This window comes from Homo sapiens, chromosome 16 (assembly GCF_000001405.40).
Source record: "Homo sapiens chromosome 16, GRCh38.p14 Primary Assembly".
In the NCBI taxonomy this organism is placed as follows: Eukaryota; Metazoa; Chordata; class Mammalia; order Primates; family Hominidae; genus Homo; species Homo sapiens.
Window position 1 is genome coordinate 83,011,343 of NC_000016.10, and position 23,180 is coordinate 83,034,522.

Genomic DNA, 23,180 nt, shown 5'->3' on the forward strand with positions numbered 1-23,180 from the left:
AAAGGGCTGAATAAATATTAAATATAAACCAGACCTCATGAGCACATTCAATCCCCAGGGAATTAGTCTGAAAGAAGGTGAGCCCTCAACTTCTACAAGTAGTGCAAATCGAAAGCCCTTCCTCTCACATATGGTAATCCCCAGGGGCTTGTACTGTCATGACCCATGTTGCTTCTGGGTCCTGTGCTTGAAAGGCTGTCTCTTTCCCCATCTGAGTCAACCGGGCGGTAAAACGTGGCTCCTGTACCAGGTTGCACAAGAAACATGCATACACACATATCACTGAGCAAGGTGAATGCCACTGAGGGTTCGGGGACCAGGGGACACCTGTGTGATCTTCTACCACCTTTCCGGCCCTTTCCTTTCTTCCCTTCTTCTTCTACTCCCAGTTAAGCTTTCATTTTCCAATGCTCTTCAGCAATCGCTATTTTACTCTCCCAAACTTCTACAGCCAAACCCAGCAAGTGTTCAGTTCAGCAGAACAAAGGGTCTTGCTCTTTGCTGGATCTACCTTTCTTTCTTAGAGGGGAGTTGGGGTTGAACAACTGTTTCGTTCATTACAGCTATTATTAATATTTTCAAAGTTATTATTAATGAAAGAGTGAGTAACGCTGCCTTATTCTCCTTTTATTTCTCACCCACTCTTTTTGTGTTCAGATCACTAGATTTTAATTTTACGCCCTTTCCCCAGCCCAGGACTAGGTCTGTGTTACCCAGGACCATTTGAAAGTTGAAAGAGGAACTCATTGGTGATACACTGGCTTAAAAAACTTTAGGAATTCAGAAAACTATCCAAGAATAACTTATAAAATTACAGATGAAATATGTGTTATAGTTTAAACACAATATTTTTCTGAGTTCTTTGGATTTTTAAGTACTTAAAATACACAGTGACTATCTCTTTTCAATTTTCCAAATATAGCATCTAAATTTAGAGAGATGTTAAAACAATTTGGGGGTTGTTTGGTTTCTTTCCTTTTTTTTTTTTTTTTTTTGGCCCCTTTGCTCAAAGAAATAGTGCTTTGCTTTCTTCTAATGAAGTAAGCCCTGGTCCAAGGAAAATATAAAATAAAATCGCTATTTTCCTACCACCTTTGGGCTATGTAATTCCCATTTCATTTTCCAAGAGGCTAAATTTTCAAATGGTTTCACTTACACAGTGCAGAAAAATTAGACATCTTCGTCATTTGGGGGAAAATAATGACAGACTCTCTACAAGAAAAAACTATATATATATGACAAATCATATTAAAAGATAACGGATCACTTTAAGTATGGGAAACAGACCTTGAAGACAAACAGTTTTGCACCCGAACTTGATCTAAGCATGATTCCCAGCTAATTGTTTGGTTCTAAATTAAATTATTCCTTTTGATACCGAAATTATAGATACAGTTCCATTTGGCACTTCAGGGTATATTTATTTTCTCTGTAAGTGCTTGTCCATATATTTAAAGACTACAGATAATGGATTTTTAAGTGTATTTAAAAAGTTAAGCCTCTTGAGAATTTATTTTAAATGGAAAATATCTCCCAGCAGATTGTAATTTAAAAAATTAAAGGCAATACAATACACATGCATAGAGATAACATTCAGGTGTTTGTGAATCATTTTCCCCACTCTGCTGATTGTCTTTGTGGTTAATCATGGAACTGATGGTGCAGAATACACTGTGGATGAGTTTACTTGCCTGAGCACTTAGGTGGCTTAGAGCAGATCTCTTGCAAAATGCGAGAAAAAATATGACCTTGGCCTACAGCAGTGATCAACAAACTTATTTTGAAAAGGATTAGAAAGTAAATATTTAAGGCTTATGAGCGAGATATTCTGTTGCAACTATCCAACTCTGCTGTTGCAGTTCAAAAGCAGCCATATACATGTAGGTGAATAGTGTGGCTGTATTCCAATAAAACTTTATTTACAAAAACAGTAGTGGGCCGGATTTGACATGCAGGTTGTAGATTCCAGACTCCTGGTTTGGAGGCCTGACTTCACAACTTTGTGTCATCCTATAGGAGTATGAGTTCAGCTCCTGGATTCAGCATCTCAGTTAGGCCCACTCTAGTGAGTTAGCAGAGCAGCCTTCTTTACGCAGCTGCCATAAACAAACCAAGCAAGCCATGAAGCCCACGCTTCAGTGTCATAATCACATTTCCCTTCCACATGATCTGTACACACCTCAAACCCCAATCCTCACAAGTGGGATTAAGAGCCTCAGGAAGAGCTCCAAATAAATCCTCTTCTCCTGTCCATCTCACCACAGAAAAGCAGATGAACAGAAAATCAGAAAGTCAGTAACTTGTCTATTCCTCAGAGTTAGATGTCAGTGTGATACCTGACATAGAGACAATCTGACAGATCACAAAAGTCTGATTCATTTATAAAATATCTGGTGAGTGGCTACTGTTTGTCAAGCTCTGTGCTAGTGCGAGAGATACAAGGGTTGCTGGGATGGCCCGGTCTCTGCAAGAATGGAGGTTTTATTCTAGTGAGAGAGACACAACATAGGGAGGAATCCAAAAGACAGAAGGAGGGTTTGCCCTGAGTTTCCTGTTGGAAATTGGGACTCTGGTAAGCAGCTGTGTGATAACAGAAAGAAACATCAGCCTCATCTGTATAAGCACGTCTTCATTCAATAAAACACATATAACAGGCCTTTGCTAAACACTCGAGGTAAAATGGCAAACAAGACACTTTCTTCCCTCAAGAAGTTCACAGTCTGATAAGGAAAAAAGCAAAAAGAACAAGTAATGACAAGTTGAACTCCTGAATATTCTGACAGATCAGGCAATTCACACACACAAAAAAAGGAAATAGAATTGCCGATATTATAAAACAATCTCTAACCTTCCCATTCATTGAAAAATTTTCAAACTAATACTACACTCTCTTCCAACCATCAGATTGGCCAACAAAAATAAACATTGTATTATCAACCGTTAGCGTGAGGAGACAACTCTTAGAGCCCAAATCGATAAAAAAAAAAAAAAAAAAAAAAAACTTAGCATCTAACTAAATTTTAACTGACGTTTCATTTGAATCAGCACTTTCAGAATGGCTCTGAACTACTTAAATATATGTATAAAAGCCAGGTATAAAGGTATTTGTGGCCGACCATGGTGGCTTATGCCTGTAATCTCAGCACTTTGGGAGGCCAAGACGGATAGATCACTTGAGGTCAGGAGTTGAAGACCAGCCTGGCCAACATGGTGAAACCCTGTCTCTACTAAAAATAAAAAATTAGCCGAGTGGTGGCCCATGCCTGTAATTCTAGCTACTTGGGAGGCTGAGGCAGGAGAATTGCTTGAACCTGGGAGGCAGAGGTTGCAGTGAGCTGAGATTGCACCACTGCACTCCAGCTTGGGCAACAGAGGGAGACTCCATCTAAAAAAAAAAAAAAATATATATATATATATATATATATATATATATGTATATATATATATTTGTATATATATATGTATATATATTTGTATATATATATTTGTATATATATTTGTATATATATATTTGTATATATATATGTATATATATATGTTTGTGTATATATATATGTATATTTACATTTACTACTACACAGTTGGTAATTAATGAAACGGAAAACCTCAGTGTTCAGCAATAGGGAACTGCTTTAATGAGAGCAGATAGATCCATACTAAGAGATAATATGCAGTCATAAAAAAGCAATCTATATAAACTGATGTAAAAAGTATTTAATAGCTATTAAGAGAAAACCTACCTACTGAACTGTTTAAGTGTATATATAGCTTGCAAATTTGGTAGAATAATTTAATAATCAAAATGTGTGGCTAATCGGGGAAGTCAGGGCTTGTTGAGATAGTAACAGGCTGCATCTCCTATTTCACTTCAGTTGATTCCATTTTTAATTATTTTTGTATTTTAAAATGACTATTAAATAATATGAGTTAAAGGATGTATACCTATTTAAAGACTATCCACTGAGAAATCTCACCCTTAATTCTAAAGGGCGCTGCAATTCAGTGATCAATAGAATGACCAAATCTCCACCCTCAAAGTTCCTTGGTTATTTTGAAAACCGTACTGCTAAAAAGAGAAAAAAAAAAGTGTCATTCTTTTCTGCCTGATATCTTCCCAGCATATGTAAAGTAGTATTCCTGGTGATAGTATCTGAAAATCAACATAATCCAAAGGTCCTCACTTTGTAATGTTTGCAGTAAGATTCCAGCATCTTAGCATTTAACTGTTTTCAGATTACATCCATTTAAACATCTGTGATTCATTATCGTAAATATCACAGTTGTGGGGACCATATGCTTCAGCTTGCAGCATATATGTGTGTGTGTGTGTGTATGTATATATATATATATATATATATATATATATATATATATATATATAAAGAAAAAGCACGAGCAATAAATCTCAGGAACCTTAGACTTGCCGTGGGTATGTGCAAAAAGAACATTTCCAAACACATGGGGCTGTCTATAATCACAGTAATGTACTTGAGATCCCATGTAAGAATTATTCAATTGCAAAAGTTGCCACTTGTGATGGAAAGCTATGATTTACATTTGGCTTGTGCACTTCCCATGATAATTCAAATAGGGTGGAAAGCAGCACAAAAGCCTTCTGCTGCATTGGCTTTTACTTCTTAAGGAAATATGTGAGCGCTATTGTTGTCGAGTGGAGAAATCACAGAAAAATGAGATACCTTTAACAAGTGGCAAGGCACTCTTGGCAGGCATCCTTCATTCCCATGAGACTGGAGCTAGAGATGATGCCATATGGCCTAAGGGATGTAATAAAAATCACTTGGCCACTGGAGGATGAATAGGCATGGCCTACAGGGCTGATTATTTTCTTGCTTACACCAGAAAACCCACGTATGCACACAAGAATTAATTGTGCTTCATGTATTGTAAGCCAAATCATTGTCTTTTAATTTCCTGATAAAGTCTTGTCAACTAGACAGAACCAATCTGTAATCACAGCTGATGAGTATCTCACACACTGCAATTAGGGAGGAGGTAAATGAATTAATTGGTTACAACCAAAAGGAGTCTGCTAATATTTTTTGATTGCCAACTCTCTTCTAGGGCTAGCACCAAGCCTAGCCAGAGATATGGAGATAAAACTGTAGGAAGCTCTTGCCCTCAAGGATCTTCCAGATTACCAAAGGGCAGGTTAGGTCAGGAGAAAATTTTCAAGGTGTGGAAGCTGGCCTTCTGCAGTCTGCTGCAGTTTGATTGGCATCCCTGCTGGTTATTATCAAGCCACCAACCTTGTCAAAGCCTTGTGCATTCCCTTTAGGAAGGAGATCCATTGTTGCCTTAGATGGTGTTCTTGAGCCCCTAAACACTACCCTGCCATCTAGAAACATTTCTGGACCCTGTCCTGGAATCAAGGTAGCACAAGGCCATCTCTGCTTAGAAGCATTCTAGATATCCACAAGGAAGGAAGGATGGGGTGTTTAAAATGCTTTTGGATCTTTTTGTACAAAAGATGCTCATCTACATACTGGCTACACGTCATTTATGACATTTATGAAAACCAAAATTGACATTCTGAAGTCCTTGGATCAAATTTCTGTGCTGTTCTTTTCTCCTCCATGGTGTTTTATTTGATGCGATCTTGGGATGTGTGATGACTTCGTAGTGGAATAGCAGGTGTTGATCCGTAGGAACTTCAAATCTCAAGAGTTATTTGATAAAAGTTATAGACAGATCAATGATAGCAAATTTCAAACTTATGTTTCCCCAGTCATTGAAGAAAGAACACTAGTAACAGCTCTTGACTACATTTAGGTGTTCTTGACTATCTTTAATGGGTGCATAAGGATTTGCCTGGGCCCCATTCATTCATTTTCCTTGACCCTCTTCAGAGCTTGAGTGTTTCCTAAGCTTTGACACACAGGGTCTTCTGGCATCTGCTGTCTGGATTTTTGCTGATGGATTTAATTACTGACTTCAAGATTCTACTCAATTCCATTTTGACACCTTTTTTAGCTCAAGACACAGACTCTTTGACTCCCTGTTATGTCCTGTGCTGCTAAGCTGTAGAATAACTTCGAACATTTACTTTGGATACCATCATTTGAAGGAATCCACTCTCTTTCCCAAGGACCTGGAACTGGATTCTATATTAGTTGTAAAAAGCAATCCAGCTTTCCTACTTACAGATGTGTGACCTTAAGAAATGTTCTTACTCTCTGAGCTTCAGGTTTTCTCCCCTACCTTCATGATACTGTTGGAGAATTGAAAGAAATAATGTTTATCAAGTATTTAGTCCACGGACTGACATATAGAAAATGCTTCATAAATGGTAGGTATTATATATGATAGACATCAAACATGAAATACTATTAGGGCTCTGTACTATTAGCACTATTAGGGTTTTGTAGAGTGACTTGAATATATAGGGAAACAATTCATGTAATCCCCAAGGTGTGTTCATATGAACCAACACGCTTTGATGCCACAGCCATTTATACCAGCTGGAAGAGTGCAGAACTAACATAAATGATGTCCTGCTAGCATCTGCAGCTGGGTCATAAACCAAAGCTTAATGTTTTACAAAGTTTTGATATGCAGTAGTCAATTTATCCATTTTTGTGAATCAAGTAGGTTGGGAAACAAGCCCAGCAAAACACAGTTTGGTAAATTTTATGTGAAAAAACTCTCTTCTTTTTCACTCAGTAATTTTTGCATTTTAAAAAAATACAGTAATCAAAAGAAATATGATGGGCCAGTGAAAAGCCTGGCCTTTGGAGTGTGGTGAACCTGAGTTCAAACCCCAGTTCTACAAGTAAACCTTTGCACTATGGGTGGCTCAGTCTCTCCCAGCTTATCTCATTTTGCCTCTGTAAAATGGTTGAAATATCGGATTATGGGGATTGGAGTGAAATGGAACACTGACCCTTCAACATGACAGCCCTGCCAATAATTATGGGGTCTAAGCTTCTAGACGCTAAGTATCATGAAAATAGATGCTATTCCACATTCACCTTTAGTTGCCGTTTATCCCTTACTGCCTACTGTCTTGTACATTGTAAGTGAAAAAATGATGTTTTTAATGGGTTAATGGATGAGTATGTTGAACTTTAGAATAACAGAATTTCCCAGTTGTAAGAGACATCATTCAATGCTGGAATTGCTTCCACAATATTCCTGATGAAGTCATATAGGTTCCACTTGAAAGTACCCAGTGACAAGCACATTATTTCACCCAGAAGGAACTAGATCTTCCAAATGGTAACCTGAATTGCTTTAGGCCCCTCCAGTATGGTCATGCATTGTTTAACCATAGGGATATGCTCTGAGAATGCACCACTGGGTAATTTAATCATTGTTGGAACATCACAGAGTAGACTTACACAAACCTAGAGGGTATAGCCTATTACACACCTAGGTGATCTCTTACAACCTATGGCTCCTCGGCTACTAACATATATAGCACGGTGCTGTACTGAGTGCTATAGGCAATTGTAACACAATGGCAAGTGGTTGTGTATCTAAACATATCTAAACACAGAAAAGGTATAATAAAAATATAGTCTAAAAGGTAAAATTGGCACACCTGTATAGGGCACTTACTACGAATAGAGGTGGTAGGATTGGAAGATGCTCTGGGTGAGTCAGTGAGTGAGTGGTGAGTGAATGTGAAGGCCTAGGACATTACTGTGCAGGACTATAGACTTTATAAACACTGTACACTTAGGCTATACTAAGTTTATAAGAAAAAGCTTTCTTTCTTCAATCATAAATTAACTTTAGCTTACTGTAACTTTTTTACTTTATAAACTTTAATTTTTTAACTTTTTGGCTCTTGTGGTAACACTTAGCTTACAACACAAACACATTGTACAGCTATAGAAAATATTTTCTTTATATCCTTATTTTATAGACCTTTCTATTTTTAAATGTTTTCTCTTTTTCTTTTTCACTTGTTGAACTTCTTTGTTAAAAGCTGAGACATGAACACATACATTTGCCTAGGCCTACACAAGGTCAGAATCATGAATATCACTGTATTCTGCCTCCACATTTTGTCTCACTGAAAGGTCTTTAGGGGTTATAACACGCATGGAGCCATCTCCTATGATATCAATGCCTTCTTCTGGATACCTCCTGAAGGACTTGCCTGAGGCTGTTTTACAGTTAACATTTTCTTTTTTTTTTTTTTTTTTGAGACAGGGTCTCGCTCTGTCACCCAGGCTAGAGTACCGTGGCCCGATCTCAGCTCACTACAGCCTCTGCCTCCTGGGTTCAAGTGATCCTCCTGCCCAAGCATCCCGGTTAGTTGGGACCACAGGCACCAGCCACCCCACCCAGCTAATTTTTGCATGTTTTGTAGATATGGAGTCTTGCCATGTTGCCCAGTATGGTCTCAAACTCCTGGGCTCAAGCGATCTGCCTACCTGGGCCTCCCAAAGTGCTGGGATTACAAGCGTGAGCCACCATGCCCGGCCAGTAAACCTTTTCTTAATGGGTAGAAGGAGGAGTACACTCTAAAAAAAAAAAAAAAAAACAATAAAAACGATAGTATATTAAATATATAAACCAGTAGCATAGTTGTTTATTATCATTACCAAATATTACATATGGCACATAATTTTATGTGCTTGACTTTTATGACTGAAAGTGCTATAGGTTTGTTTACACCAGCATCACCACAAACACATGAGTAATGCATTGCACTCTGACGTTATGACAGCTACCTCACTAGGCAATAGGACTTTTTCAGCTCCGTTATCATCTTACGGGATTGCTATCATATATGTGTTCCTCTGTAGATCAGAACATCGCTATGTGGCACATGACCGAATTTGGACAAATATGACGTCATGCAAATATGAATATTTGCATTGTTCTGGCTTGTAGCCCCACACCTGCATAGCTGTAGGACCTCAATGTATTCTCCTTCCTGGCCTTTTATTCTGGTTATTTCTGGAAGACCTCAGGGCATCTGTCACATGAATTCACAAATTCTTCTTCCATGTCCTCTCATTCTGGCCTCTTTAATTATTAACATTCCTGGGAAACTCTTGGAGGAAGGGCCTCCCCACTGCCCTCTGTGGGAAAAGTCCATCTCCAGGATCCCCAAAGCCATGTACCCCTCAAGGTGCCAACAGACCCTATGACTGCTCTAGTGTTCTCTCTACCAGAACAAAGCCAAGCTGTACTCCACTCAAAAATGGGGCCACCCTGCTGCTCAGCATAACAGTTTGCTATTAGGAAACAAAATAACAGTGCTTGAAAATACCTAAGTTGTCTGTGGTTTGTGAATCTTTGAGTTGTGTATGTAGCTTTCTTTTCTCTGAACTATGGATCCATGGGGCTGGCCTAGGAAACCAATATTGTGTTCCTCTCTCTCTTTCTCCTGGTTCTGCCTCCCTCTCTAGGTGCTCATGCAGAAGTAGTCCTCCTCAGAGGCCCCCTTCCTCCCCAGGTATATCTGCTCTTGCAATAGAGAGGTAACTGGGAAATCACGAGACTGTCAAGGCATCAAAACACAATCAGGGTCTGAATCCCAATTTAGGCTTAGCCAGGACACTTTGTCACATGTCCCTAGACAACCCCAACTGCAAGGCCAAACACCCTGAAAGTTGCAGTGGAGTAAAGCTCTCTTCACATTAATTTACCCTTGAGATGCACATTCAGAAGGAGACTTTTACACATAATTGCTATAAAGTTTAAAAACTAAGGGCCTTGTCAGAGACGTGTGCCAGTCATGAAAATACCAAGAAGGGATCTCTGTAAATCCGAGATTTGGTGATTCTCAAACTTGCTGAATCCATGATTTTTCTTTCGCTTAATGGGTGACTTTCAAATCCACTTACTCAAATCTTCACTTGAGTTGATGCCATCATTCTCAGTTGTGTTTGGGGAGTTTCAAATCTGCTTAGCTGCCAAGTTGCAGTTCTGCTATTTATTCATTCAACAAACAGGGTTGAGTATGTACTGTGTCAAGCACTGTGCTATATATAAAGTAATTCCAATTTGAAACACAAATTCGTAGTGATTATAACCACCATGGGATAGATGATGCATAGCATTCTATCAGGAAACAACCTGCCATGTTTTAAGGAATCCACGGCAAGAGGAGAACGTAAGACTGACACACATACAAAACAAAGATTCAAAGCTAACGGCTCAGTTTTTAATGGTAGGTGGAGAAAATCCCCTGAAAGCAGATGTGGCCTCTGTCTTTTTCCAAGAGGAAGCCCTTAAGGGTTACATGGCAAAAATAGGTTTCTGCTGAAGATTGTTGGACTGTATCATTCATTATGATATCTTCTGCTGACATGATAGAATTGAAACTCTATTTTATCAAAGTTGGAACTGAAGCATGGAATGGAATTAAGACTGTTTTATGTTTGTTCTGCACTTACCAAATTCTATAAAGCCTTTGGAAGTGAAATTCACTCCTGGGTCAACCAGTCATGGCTAGAATACTCCCAGAACCTTATAGAAGCTCTGCAATGTCAGTGCTGACTCTAGGCCAAACATGGAACACGGAAGCCCAATACGCATGTTCAGGAAGCAGAAGAGTAGAAATAATCAAGTCTGTAGGGTGTGCTTCTTGATTCACTCATGGATCTGACCCAATGTGGGTGGAATTGAACGTATGTTAATGAAGGCTTGAGTGACTAGAATGCTGGTGAAATGAGAGTATTCAGGAAAGTCAAAAGAAATGCTTCCTGTTTCTTCCATTTGGACCAGTCTAAAGAGACTCTGGACTAAGCCCTGTGAGTGCTTTAAAAGGAAGGTGGTGCCTCTGGATGCCAGTGGCATACTGAGGGATATGAAAAGCAATTAAGTGATGGCCTGTATCCTGGAAAGAGTCTGTCTGATATTTCTGAATTAAATGCTACTTTAGTTGTCAGAAAGACATTGTCATGCCCCAGCAAAGGCTTTGCAGATTAACCAATATGCAGGACCTTCATGCTGAGGAAGAATTGAATTCTGTTTTTCCAAGTAGGCAAGGAATACCAGGATAGCTGGGTCTCTCCATCTCAGGCAAAACAGACAATCTACATTCTTATGCTCTGGGGCAGTTCCTATCTGTGTCATGTCCTTGAGACAGCTAGTATAGGTACTTCTGAGAGCTGGTAAAAATTTTAGAAAAGTTGCAAGCCAACTGAAGGCACATTGGTACCTTGAAATAAACAACGTGTAGAGCATTTAAACCACAGAAATCGGCAGATGCTACAACTCGAGACTTTTTCCAAGACTAGCACATCACTGCAAGTCCTTCTCTTCTGTGTGTGCGTATGAAGATCCTGGAGGTGGATCTGTGCATATCTGTCTGGGGGAGGGCTACAACTTCCAGGGTGACTGATTCAGAGCCTGTAATTCTGATTCATATGCATCCTTGCACACATGTACAAGTGGAATCTGACCATCCACTCTGAAAGGGCCCCACAACTTATGTGCAGACACATTTGCAAAGCCTCTACAAATACATGCAAACTCTAGGACAATTTACCCATATAAGATGTGAGTGTATAAATCACAGATTGGCCCAAGCACGCTTATAAGAATAGCACAAAATTCATATATTAGTTCATACCTAGCTCTGCAAGCAGGACTGTTCTATATTTGGCAGATAAGTTTAAATCCATCTGCATTTCATTTTTTCTGGGATCATAACAGAGCTTAATTTTCTCCCTTATCCATTTTTAGATGGTAGGAAATCTATGCCTTTTGGATTTTCATCCCCAAGAACCACCTTCAAAAGAAAGAAATGGAAAAGCATAAAATCAAGGTCGGGAAGATTAAGCCCCTTAATTCACATGTCAAACTTGCCATTTCAATTGTGGTTTTGTCTCCCAGCTGAAGTTTGTCTTTTTGTGACATTTGCATTAAGCCCAGGGGACATTTTGAGTGGAAAAGCGCTGAAAGCATAATTGAAACTCTGAGTGTTGCCTTTTGTCTAATTTGCAATTTCCCCCAGGTGGGGTGTTTTCACTACCCCCCGACTCCACCCCGCCCTCCCAGGGTGTTCTAAGATTATCTCAAAGAATGATGTTATGCAATTTATTCCAATAAATCTCCATGTACAGTATCTTATATGTGTATATTTTTTGCCTTCCAGAAGTTATTTCAAATCCGTGAGAAACTATGTAGGGAAGTCATTCATAGGTTCAGAAGAGTACAGATAGTTCATTTCCCCTTTCAGATAGAGGTTTTGAGTATTTGTTCACAAGTTTAATTGTTTAGTCACATCTTTCAGTTATCCACATGGTGTCATTCTGAGCCACCCAGGAAGTTGTCTCTATAGAAACAAGCATTTTTTAAATGGACATAAACTGTTCAGTTTTGTCCTTAAATATGTCTTTGAACTCTGTGCTCAATTCACATATGGTCTTGATATCTACTTAAAAGTTTGAGAATCACTGACACTTTGGTGGCATCAACAAAGTCAATAACATGAAACACAATGCAGGGCTGATGTCATCACATGCACCCTTTAATAGGAAATTTAGGATATGATTATAATTGGTGAGAATGTAGAGTCTGTTTTCTCCAGGAGAAAGAAGAAAACGTAAAAGAAAATGTTGTGGCTTGTTTTTCTTTTGAGTCAATGTCTTCCTGTTTATCAGAGCTGTCCTTTAGATATTGCCAAAGCTATGGCAACAGGAGCAATTTAGATTTTGCCCTTTCTAGAATTTCTGTTTTTATCAAGACTTCATTATTTATATTAAATAAATTATTTCTTATCTGATATTTGGATATCATAGCCTTCCTGGATTATATACCTGAGTAGAGTGGATGCAGGCATGAATTTGTCTAACTGAGGGTTGGATGGCAAGGAATGTAGTACCAGCCAGCATTTCCAGAGGGTACAACAAACGTCACTGTGGAGGTTTTAGTGGATACAAGGACAAACTTTTTTAGTGGATACAAGGACACACTTACTTCTTTTGAATTTGGCTCTTTAGATTTATTTTAATATTTATTTGAAAAAATACCTGGCATATTCAACAGGTATTATAAATACTACATTCAAATAATTTTATAATTTAAAGGGTCAGTCAGTTAAAAAATATTAAGTAAATAATCGATGTGGTATGAGAGGTGGCAATGAAATTGTGAGTCTGGAAGCTGAATGACTAAAGGAAAGAACACATTCATCTAGAAAGACTGGCATAGCCCTCAGGAGTGTGGGCTCTAGAACCAGAAACCACACTCCCGAGTTTGGATTTGACCTCGGTTCATATAATGACTTCGTGGCCTCGGATAACTCATGCAACCTCACTAAGTCTCAGTTTCCACAGAACACCAAAAGTTCCTACCTCAAATTGATGATGTGAAGAAGACGACATGAAGATTTATTGCAATCATTAGTGTAAAGCTCACAGTGTAATGTAATGTCATTACTTTAGGAAAACTCTTGCCTTACATTTGTACGAAGTTGTCTTCACCAACAATCCGTTTGGAGAATATCGAACAAAACTTTGTTGATTCTATTTTGAGCAGGGCTCTGTAATTTCACTCCTTTAATATCGTTTTTCCTTCACAACTGTTCACATGAAGTACGTAGGGCTTCACCAAAACAAGTGAAGGGATTCAACAATGGGCAAGCCTGAATCAGAATCATCAGCCCCACCCCTTTAACCCTAGCAGTGATGCCTGTAGTAACCATTTCCATGGCAACAGCCTGAGACTAGCAAGGTACCTGACTAGAAGGAATGACAGAGGAGGAGGTAGAAAAATCAGCTGGAAGAAGGAAGCTGTGTAGGAAAAGGAAAAGGTAGCTTCCTTAGTGCCCAGAATTATGGCAATAATGGTGATCATTCTCATTCATGGAGCAACAAGCTCTGTCCTAAGTGCTTTCTGTGTGTAGGCATGCATTATCTTGTTTACACATGCCATAAGGATTATAGTACCTTTCAGGAGGATGCCCACTCTATGGATAAAGATGTCGAGGATTAAAGAATATAGGTGGTATATTAGTCCATTCTCATGCTACTAATAAAGACATACCTGGGACAGGGTAATTTATAAAGAAAAGAGGTGTAATTGACTCACAGTTCAGCATGGCTGGGGAGGCCTCAGGAAACTTACAATCTTGGCAGAAGGGAAAGCAAACACATCCTTCTTCACATGGCAGCAGCAAGGAGAAATGCAGAGAGAAGGGGAAGAATGCCCATCAGATCTCGCCAGAACTCACTGTCACAAGAATAGCATGGAGGTAACCACTCCTGTGATTAAATTACCTCCCATCGGCTTCCTCCCATGACACACGGGAGTTATAGGAACTACAATTCAAGATGAGATTTTGGTGGGGACACAGCCAAACCATATCAGGTGGTTTGCCCAACGTCACAGGGCTCCTACACACAAGCCAGGATTAGAAAAGGGCTTAGAAACCTACCCTTAAAACTTCCCTTTCTTGGGGCACGGAAATAACAGTTGCTGGCATGCCAGTCCCCAACCTCTACTCTTTTCCAGGAATGGCTGGGAAATGTGGAGACCTGGCACCTTGACAAAGAGTTTATAATGTAAGGTCCTGGTTCCTGGCTCTGTCTGCATTAGATTAATCAGGGGGAGCTTTTAAGAGATACTAGTGCACACAGACCGCAACTCAGCACAGTTGTATCATAATCTTGGGAGAGAGTGGGGGCAGGTATTGCTATTCTTTTTAATGCTCCTTCAGCATTTCTTAGATGGCCAGCCTTGAGAAAGAACCATGGCCTAAAGCACCTACTCCTGAGTTGGTAAGTGGTATCAAAAATATACAAAGACCCAATTATGCAACTGTTAGCTATTTGATTTAGAAAGTATTGAGTGCCGGTGATGTGCCAGGTCCTGAAACTGCAGTTGTTCTCAGTGTGACCTCACTTGGTACCTCTGATGATCCCAAAGGGGTTTGTGAGATGCCCAAGGGGGCCATGTTGGGGCAACTGTCCTTTCTCCACTTGCCCATCTATTCCTAGGAAGCAGATGTGCCCAGAGCTTGGGCTGTAGAGGCAGAATGAACAGATCAGAGAAGGTTCTCGCTCTAGGCCTTTCTGGATATGGGACCACGAGCTAGTCAGTCAATCTCTCTGAGACTCAGTCTCTTCTCCTGTAAAATATAATATGATGCTTATATATTTATAGACTGTGCATTCTCATTGGGGCTATATTTCCCCCACAGGGGTGAAATAGGTTCGAGGGTGGGGGGACAAAAATTGCACTTACAAATGTAAAGTATAGATATACTTGTAGTACCTAAACAGATATAAGTATATCTGTGATATTAAAATTTTACAGGAATAGTGGCAATTAGAAAAAAATACTTAAAAGAGCCCTTAGGGGAGTAGATAATGAAAAAAACAAAAGTTAAGCAACCCTGCTATAGAATTGCTATGAGGCTGAAAGGAGGTATGGACTTGTACAGTCCTTTGCATAGAGCGTAGCACTCAGGGACCACTCAATAAATAGTAGTGCCATGACTGTTGTCTGTCCAAGCATCACTTCATTCAAAATGCACACACTGATTCCAACCATTCTTTGGGGCTATGCAAGTTTTACTGGCATCTTTGGGACAGATAAGGCACCACCTCTGACTTCACCAATGAGCTAGGTCAGAGCTAAGCAGAGCGGCTGAGTGCCATTCTAAATGGATACACACGGGGTCCAGGGGCCAAGGGGAGAGCATAGCTGAGTTCTTCATTTCCTTGTACTCCCTGCTGCTGGGTTCAATGAAATCAAGAGGTCACTACGGGCCTCTTATCCCAATTCACAGCCTTGTCGGCAGCCTCTTGCTCACAGCACAGAAGGGAGACCCCCCCCCCCCACCGCCCCGCCTCCAATCCTCTACCATTACTAAATCATCATTTTGCTCTGGAGAGTAACTGAGCAAAGTGGAATTATTACTGATGGCCTCCCATGTGGAAAAACATGCTGTTCATTGCTGAAGATGTAAAGATGAATGAAAGAACAAGACTCAATTTCTGCTCTTGGTTCTGGTGCAAAAAACAAATACATAATATGGACAGATTGATATAATATAAAAGGTTCTATGGGAAGGAAATTCTGGAACACAAAGAGAATGCTTGAAGAAGTTGCTTGAGTTGAATCTTGAAGAGTAAGCAAGAGTTAACAGGGTGAAGAAGGTGAGAAATGCCTTCTGCAGAGAGGGAGCACTATACACAAAGGGTGGGACAGTAGAGTAGGGAGATGCAAGAGTGGGTGAGGTGTGAGCTATGCAGTGAAGACAAAGGCAGAGGGGAGGCTGATGGACAGCCTAGTCATGGAGGACCTTGAGTGCTAAGTATTGTTTTGCAATGAAGATCCATAATTATATGAGACTCAGGTGGAGAAAAGCTGGTCTTATAGTTGCAACAGGAGAATCCAAGGCTTCCTCCAGGGAGCAGAGCTGTGTGGCCCCCAGTACCCCACATTGCCTGGGCTTAGCTTATCTCCATTCTAACTTCCTTCAATTCTCCCTTGCTGTCTGTGCCAATCTAACTGCTTACATCCAGTTCGGTAGATGCCGCAGGACTTTGCATATGTTATGGTTTTCTCTGCCTAAGTAATAGGTCCCCAATTATTTATAAGAGTAGTAAATTGATGTCTGTCTTCCACATTAGACTTCAAACTAGGGACTGTGCCTGTCTTTGTTCAACATTATAACCTCAGCATCTAGCATAATGTAGGTTCTCAGTAAATATTTATGGTAGGAAGAAAGGGTGGGAAGAAGAAACTTAGCTGGGAATCCAGAACCCCCACAAACTTTCATATGCCTTTTCCTCTACCCCATTCACTCCCCAGCTGAGACTGTCTTCTGTGATCCTGTTCGAGGGTTAAGTCTGGAACCTCATGCTGGCGATTGAAGCAGTCATTTCCTGTGAGGCCTTGTCATTTGAGTAATTTGCCTCCAGTGGATGAATACTAATTGATGATAACAGTGAAAGCAACCTTGGTGTCACTTCTTCATAGTTCACTTCCAAAAACTGAAACTAAGCATGTTCAATTCATCTGGGCTACCAACATGGTTAGAGAAAGTGAGCAAGTGTCTGAGAACCGCAGGGTCCTGAGAGTCCACTTGTGTGTCCATGCAAAGATGGCTCTAAAGCTGACTTAACCACGGAAAGCCTTAGAACCTTTGCAGAGCGATCAAAAGGCACCGCAGCGTGCAGTGCTCTTCAGGACTGGGCAGGAACATGAAAACAGGACTGAGCAGGGCAATCACAGCTCTCTACAGTAGTCCCTGCTTGTCCTCAGGGGATGTGTCACAAGACCTACGTAGATACCTCAGTCCGTGGATACTACCCAACCCTATATATGCTAATTTGTCCTATACATACATAGCTATGTTAAAGTTTAATTTACAAATTGGGCACAGTAAAATATTAACAACAATAACTAATGATAAAATAGAACAATTATAACAATAATGAAAATGGCACACAATTTGAAACTTATGAATTGTTTATTTCTGGAATTTCCCATTTAATATTTTCAGACCTGTGTTGACCATGGGTATCTGGAATTGAAGAAAGCCAAGCCATGGAGATGGGGGAACTACTGTATTCAGGTTTTGATAGGATTTCAGAAGGGTTGTATTCTCCATGGGGTATTGTCTTTATTGAAAATGTGCAGTGGTGACAGGCAAATGGTCCAGGGTTCAAATCCTGGCTCATCATTTACAACCTGTGTGTACTGGGCACCAACTTTGCACTCCATGAGCCTCAGTTTCCTTATCTAGAAACTGTAGGAGAAGGGGATCAAAATAGTACTTTATTTGTTGTCATTGTAAAGATTAACTAAGGTGATGTGTGCAAAGTGTGTAGCACCTACCCTTGAATGTGGAAAGTGCTCAATCTGCATTATCCACTATTATTATCAGTTAATATGATTATTATCACCCTAAGTATCATCTTCCCAGAGTAGAAATATCAGTTTAGATTTTCAGATATTTATATGGCTTTCACAGTGTGCTAGGACCTATGTAGATGAGCTTAGATTCTCAGATATTTATTTGGCTTTAACAGTGTGCTAGGATCTATGTAGCTGTTGTTACCAAAAGATGTACACAAGAAAGTTCCTAGCAACAATATTTGGAGCCCCAAAGTGGAAATAGTCCAGATACCAGTCGAGAGTAGGATAGATAAAGAGACTCAATACAGCCACATAATGGAATACTCTATGATGATTAAGATAAAGATAAATATAGTAACCTGGATACTATACAGTGATCAGTGATTATTGTTATAGTGATTAGAATAAACTACCACAACTCACAGCCACATGATGAATCTCGTGGCATGTAATGTCGAATGAAGAAGCCAAATAGGAGAGAGTGCATACTGTATGACCACATTAGATGCCATGCAAATGCAGGTAAAACCAATCTGTGGTATTAGAGGCTAGAATAATGTAGCCTCTGGGGAAGAGGTTAGGAATTTTACTCAGGAAGGGAGGGGACTGGTAATGTGTCATGTTATGGCCTGGTTGCTGGACAGTTGGTTGTGCTTACTTTGTAAAAATTCATTGGGTTGTATGTTCTGATTTATGTGCTTATATGTGTCTACATTATGCTTCAATTAAAGGTTTACTAAACAAATAAGCCTGTTCAGCAGAGACCAAAAAGCACGTAGTACAATTCTATGCTTACCCACAAGGGGCCTCAAAGTTTACAGGAGGAGGCAGACAGGCAAATGCATGCACAGATAATGAGTTGTGATACCCATAATAATAGAATTGTGTACCACATGCAGAATCACCATTGAGGGGAGCATGATCAGCCGTCACAGCCTCTGCTTGTGTCAATGCCCTGTGCTCCATTTGTTCATGCAGGGGGCCCATCTTCCCTATTCCTTCCCACACATGAATAAGGTATTCCATGGCAGGAACTTTGCTCACATCTGTCCACTCTCCATATCAGCACCACTGCCTTCATTTTGTACAGCCATCTTTGATGCAACACTGAACTCGTTGGAACTGGGTCTCTTGGCCTCTCTTCCTGCCCTTCTTTAAATCACTTGCTATAACCCAGATCTGCCAAATTATAATCATTGTATTGGGTCCTCTGGATTCTTAAAAAGTACCCTGTGGGCCGGGTACAGTGGCTCACGCCTGTAATCCCAGTTCTTTGGGAGGCCTGAGGTCGGGAGTTCGAGACCAGTCTGGCCAACATGGTGAAACCCCCATCTCTACTAAAAATACAAAAATTAGCCAGGCATGATGGCATGCATCTGTAATCCCAGCTACCCAGGAGGCTGAGACAGGAGAATCACTGGAACCCGGGAGGCAGAGGCTGCAGTCAGCCAAGATCGCGCCACTGCACTCCAGTCTGGATGACAGAGCAAGACTCTGTTAAAAAAAAAAAAAAAAAAAAAAAGCACCCTGTGTGATTCTGATGCACCCCAATCCTTGAGAAGCACTCCTCTTCACTGGAAGCAGAGCACACACCTGATCTTGACTCTCTCCACACAACAAATCGTCCAGGGCTACCAGAAAGCACCATAACTTACTGGCTTTTCCCAACTTGTTTCCCAGAGACATTTTCAGCCTCATTTCCACCCTTCCCTTCTAGATCCCCACCATTCTAGATTCCCACCATCCCTGCCCCGTTTTAAGTTTGCCTCTATTCACCTAAAAACATATGGACTATTCCATATGGACTGAGCATGAAAGAAATATAGTTCCTCAAAGTAAATTAAGGAGCTGTTTTCAGAGGAAAGGAAATGGATGGTGGATAGGCAAGAAAATGTGGCCCACTAGAATTCTATATGGTGCTGCATATTGTGCTGTATACATATATGGTGCATGCGTATGTGTACATATGTGTACATGTATACATTACATGCACATATACCATATGTGTGTATATGGTGCTGTAGGTATATACATGCGCATGTATACACCATATACATGCGCATGTATACACCATATACATGCGCATGTATACACCATATACATGCGCATGTATACACCATATACATGCGCATGTATACACCATATACATGCGCATGTATCCATGCGCATGCATAGGCATGTATATATATGTATATGTATACACGTATATGGTATATACATGTACATGTATATGTATACACGTATATGTATATACATATACATGTATATGTATACACGTATATGGTATATACATGTACATGTATATGCATACACGTATATGGTATATACATGTACATGTATATGCACATCGTTAATTCTCATTCCCTGAATCTGTTTTGCTATTTAGCCCTCATCCCTGTGCCTTTGAATAGCCTATAATGTCTTCCACATTCTTAAGGGCCTTCTCATCTCCTACTTATCTTCAATACCCAGCTCAAATATTGACTCTGTGCAGCTCTCCTCAATGGTCCTGAGCACCCTGTGGTTCTGCTCAGTCACCCACACATGCCAGGATTAGATCACTTCCCTCAAATGTCACTCTGCCAGATCTGACTCTTCACTCCACTGAGAAGGCACTCAAGTGTGCACACTCAGAGCTTAGCACCTGCCTGGAACATGCGAGTTCGTCAAGGACATGTCTTGATTGAGTGAAGTCCATCAGCACAAAGTCACTTGGGCACAGGCATCTTGCTGTGGGATAAAACGTAACATTTGTGAACTCTGGGTTGGGAAACTATGTGGTAATTCACACTTAATAGGTCAGAGATATCTCAGAGATAAGCTGCCCAACCTACTCATGCTCCTTCTGTTGTTTCGTTTGTTTCCCAGTGACCTTCAGTGACTGTAAGGGAAACGACAAGCTACGCTATGAGGTCTCGAGCCCATACTTCAAGGTGAACAGCGATGGCGGCTTAGTTGCTCTGAGAAACATAACTGCAGTGGGCAAAACTCTGTTCGTCCATGCACGGACCCCCCATGCGGAAGATATGGCAGAACTCGTGATTGTCGGGGGGAAAGACATCCAGGGCTCCTTGCAGGTAACACATCTGTTTGAGATAACTTGGGTTCAAGGAGGACATTAGGTTCTGTCTGTCTTATGTGGAAAATGGGTCTTTAATTTATTATGTTGGCTAAGATTCCTTTTGTTATTGTTGTTGCAAATGACAGAAATCCAACTCTAAAAATGTAGATGAGGGGCAGCGGGAATTAATTGATTCATGTAACTAATTGAGGCATAGTTCGTGGATTAATTCATGGAACTATTTTAGGGATACTTCTGCCTTCAGGCGTGGCTGAAGCTGTCCAAATCAGCTTTAATCCCTGTGCATCTCGTGGCTCCATTTTCCTTTTATTAGATGTATTGAGACAGTCACATCTCTCCCTGCCTCCCAAGGTGGAGGTCTCAGCAACTACCCTCTTTCTGCTGGTCTGAAGTCGCCTGAGAAAGCATCTCTTCAAGACGATGCTAGCAAAACCTTGGAATTCAGTCTCGTAGGTTAGATCATGTGTCCACCCCTGAACTAAACATGGTGTCCATTGGGTTGTGATGTTCTGGTTGGCCACGTCTCGGTCACATTTCTTTTCCTGAAGCCAGGGCAGAGTCAGCCCTATTCACCTGAAAACTCATGGACTGAGAGTGAAAGAAATGTAGTTCCTCAAAGTAAATTAAGGAGCTGTTTTCAGAGGAAAGGAAATGGATGGTGGATAGACCAGAAAAGGTGACCCACTAGAATTGTATATGGTGCTGCATATTGTGCTGTATACATATACGGTGTATGTGTATGTGTACATATGTGTACATGTATATATTACATGCACATATACCACATGTATGTATATGGTGCTGTATGTGTATATGTTGTACATGTATGTGTATACCATATACAGGCATATGTACCATATACTTATGTGTATATGTACACATACATATGGTATATGTGCATGTAATGTATACACATATGTATACATCCACATTTAATATATCAAAGATATCTCAAAGCTAACCTGCCCAACCTACTCATGCTCCTCCTGTTGTTTTGTTTTGTTTCCCATTGACCTTCAGTGACTTCAGTATATCTATGTGTGTATATGTATATATGTATATGTAATTGTTTACGGTTCTGTATATATATACGGTGTATATGTATGTCTATATGTATACATTTGCATTTAACAGGTCATAGGTATCTCAGAGATAAGCTGCCCAACCTACTCATGGTCCTTCTGTTGTTTTGTTTTGTTTCCCAATGACTTTTGGTGACTTCAGTATATATATGTGTGTATATGTGTATACGTATGTACAGGCATACACATACTATATATGCGCATATACTGTGTATATGTATGTGTGTATATACATACACATGGTATATCTGTATTATATGTGTGTGTAATTGCATATCGTGCTTCTCGTTTGCCAGGCAGCAGTGCTTGTTCCCTTCCACAGGCACATGCATGCAGATCCCTGCACTCCCACACATATGCATACACTTTATAAGTGTCACAAACTGCCATTCAGGCTTCCCGATTGTGCCATTCGGAGACTTTTTGCTACTACTGACTCCTGCCTTCTTCACCAGGAGCTCAGGGACTCCACCTTCGTGAGAAAAGGAGGGCAAGACACACAGCAGGATTCCAGCCAAACAATGACTTAATGATGGCATGCCCCTGCTTGGCATGCCTAGCCTTCTCTCCTACCTGCGAGCTTGGTCTTCCTCGATTTTTCACAGCCCCTAATTCACATCCCTTTTCTCCACCTGCCATATTAGCCACATCCCTGCTTGATCTACTCATTTTGTTCAGTGGTGGAGCGAGTGTGGGTCACACAGCTGGGAGCAGAGACAGTACAACTGGCAATGTGAGAGTTACCTTCCCGCCAGTGCTGTCTGTGTGATCTTGAGAGCATCATATAGCTTCTTTATCTGCAGAATAGCGAGGTTAAACAGCCTGCAGTGGCAAATAAGTGGCTCATGTGCCACCCTACTGTCACCGTGCTCGTGGCAGATATTGCTAATAACCCCTGGCTTAGCCTGAGTATCCTTCTCACTGCAATGCTTCTGGAACCTACTATCAATTGATCATTTAGTGGTGTTTCTGAGGGTGGAACCTATCTGCCATTCCTGGGCTGGATGAACTTCACAATTCCCCTTCAGCATCTGTGAAGCTGTGAGTTAAGGATAGATGGCAACCTAAAAACGAATGTACGGCACGTCAGTCATGTTTCAGAGGAAACTGGATATTGGTGAATTCATACCAGTGTGGAAATCCATTGACACCACAAAGGCAAGCTTTTCTCTTACTTAGCCATGACCAATGGTCACAGCATCTCACTAATCTGTGAT

General features: G+C 40.5%; 1 protein-coding gene across 8 annotated transcripts in view; it reads left to right on the forward strand.

Moving 5' to 3' along the window:
- The window catches only part of CDH13 (cadherin 13), a 1,173,672-nt gene that overhangs the window by 384,374 nt on the left and 766,118 nt on the right, over nucleotides 1-23,180 (forward strand). For 7 of the 8 annotated variants that reach the window (NM_001220488.2, NM_001257.5, NM_001220489.2 and 4 more), the window contains one exon: nucleotides 20,668-20,876. The exons of the other annotated variant lie outside the window; for it this stretch is intronic. In NM_001220488.2, coding sequence (NP_001207417.1) covers nucleotides 20,668-20,876 — 209 coding nt within the window. The remainder of the gene's footprint in view (nucleotides 1-20,667; nucleotides 20,877-23,180) is intronic. 8 annotated transcript variants of the gene reach the window in all.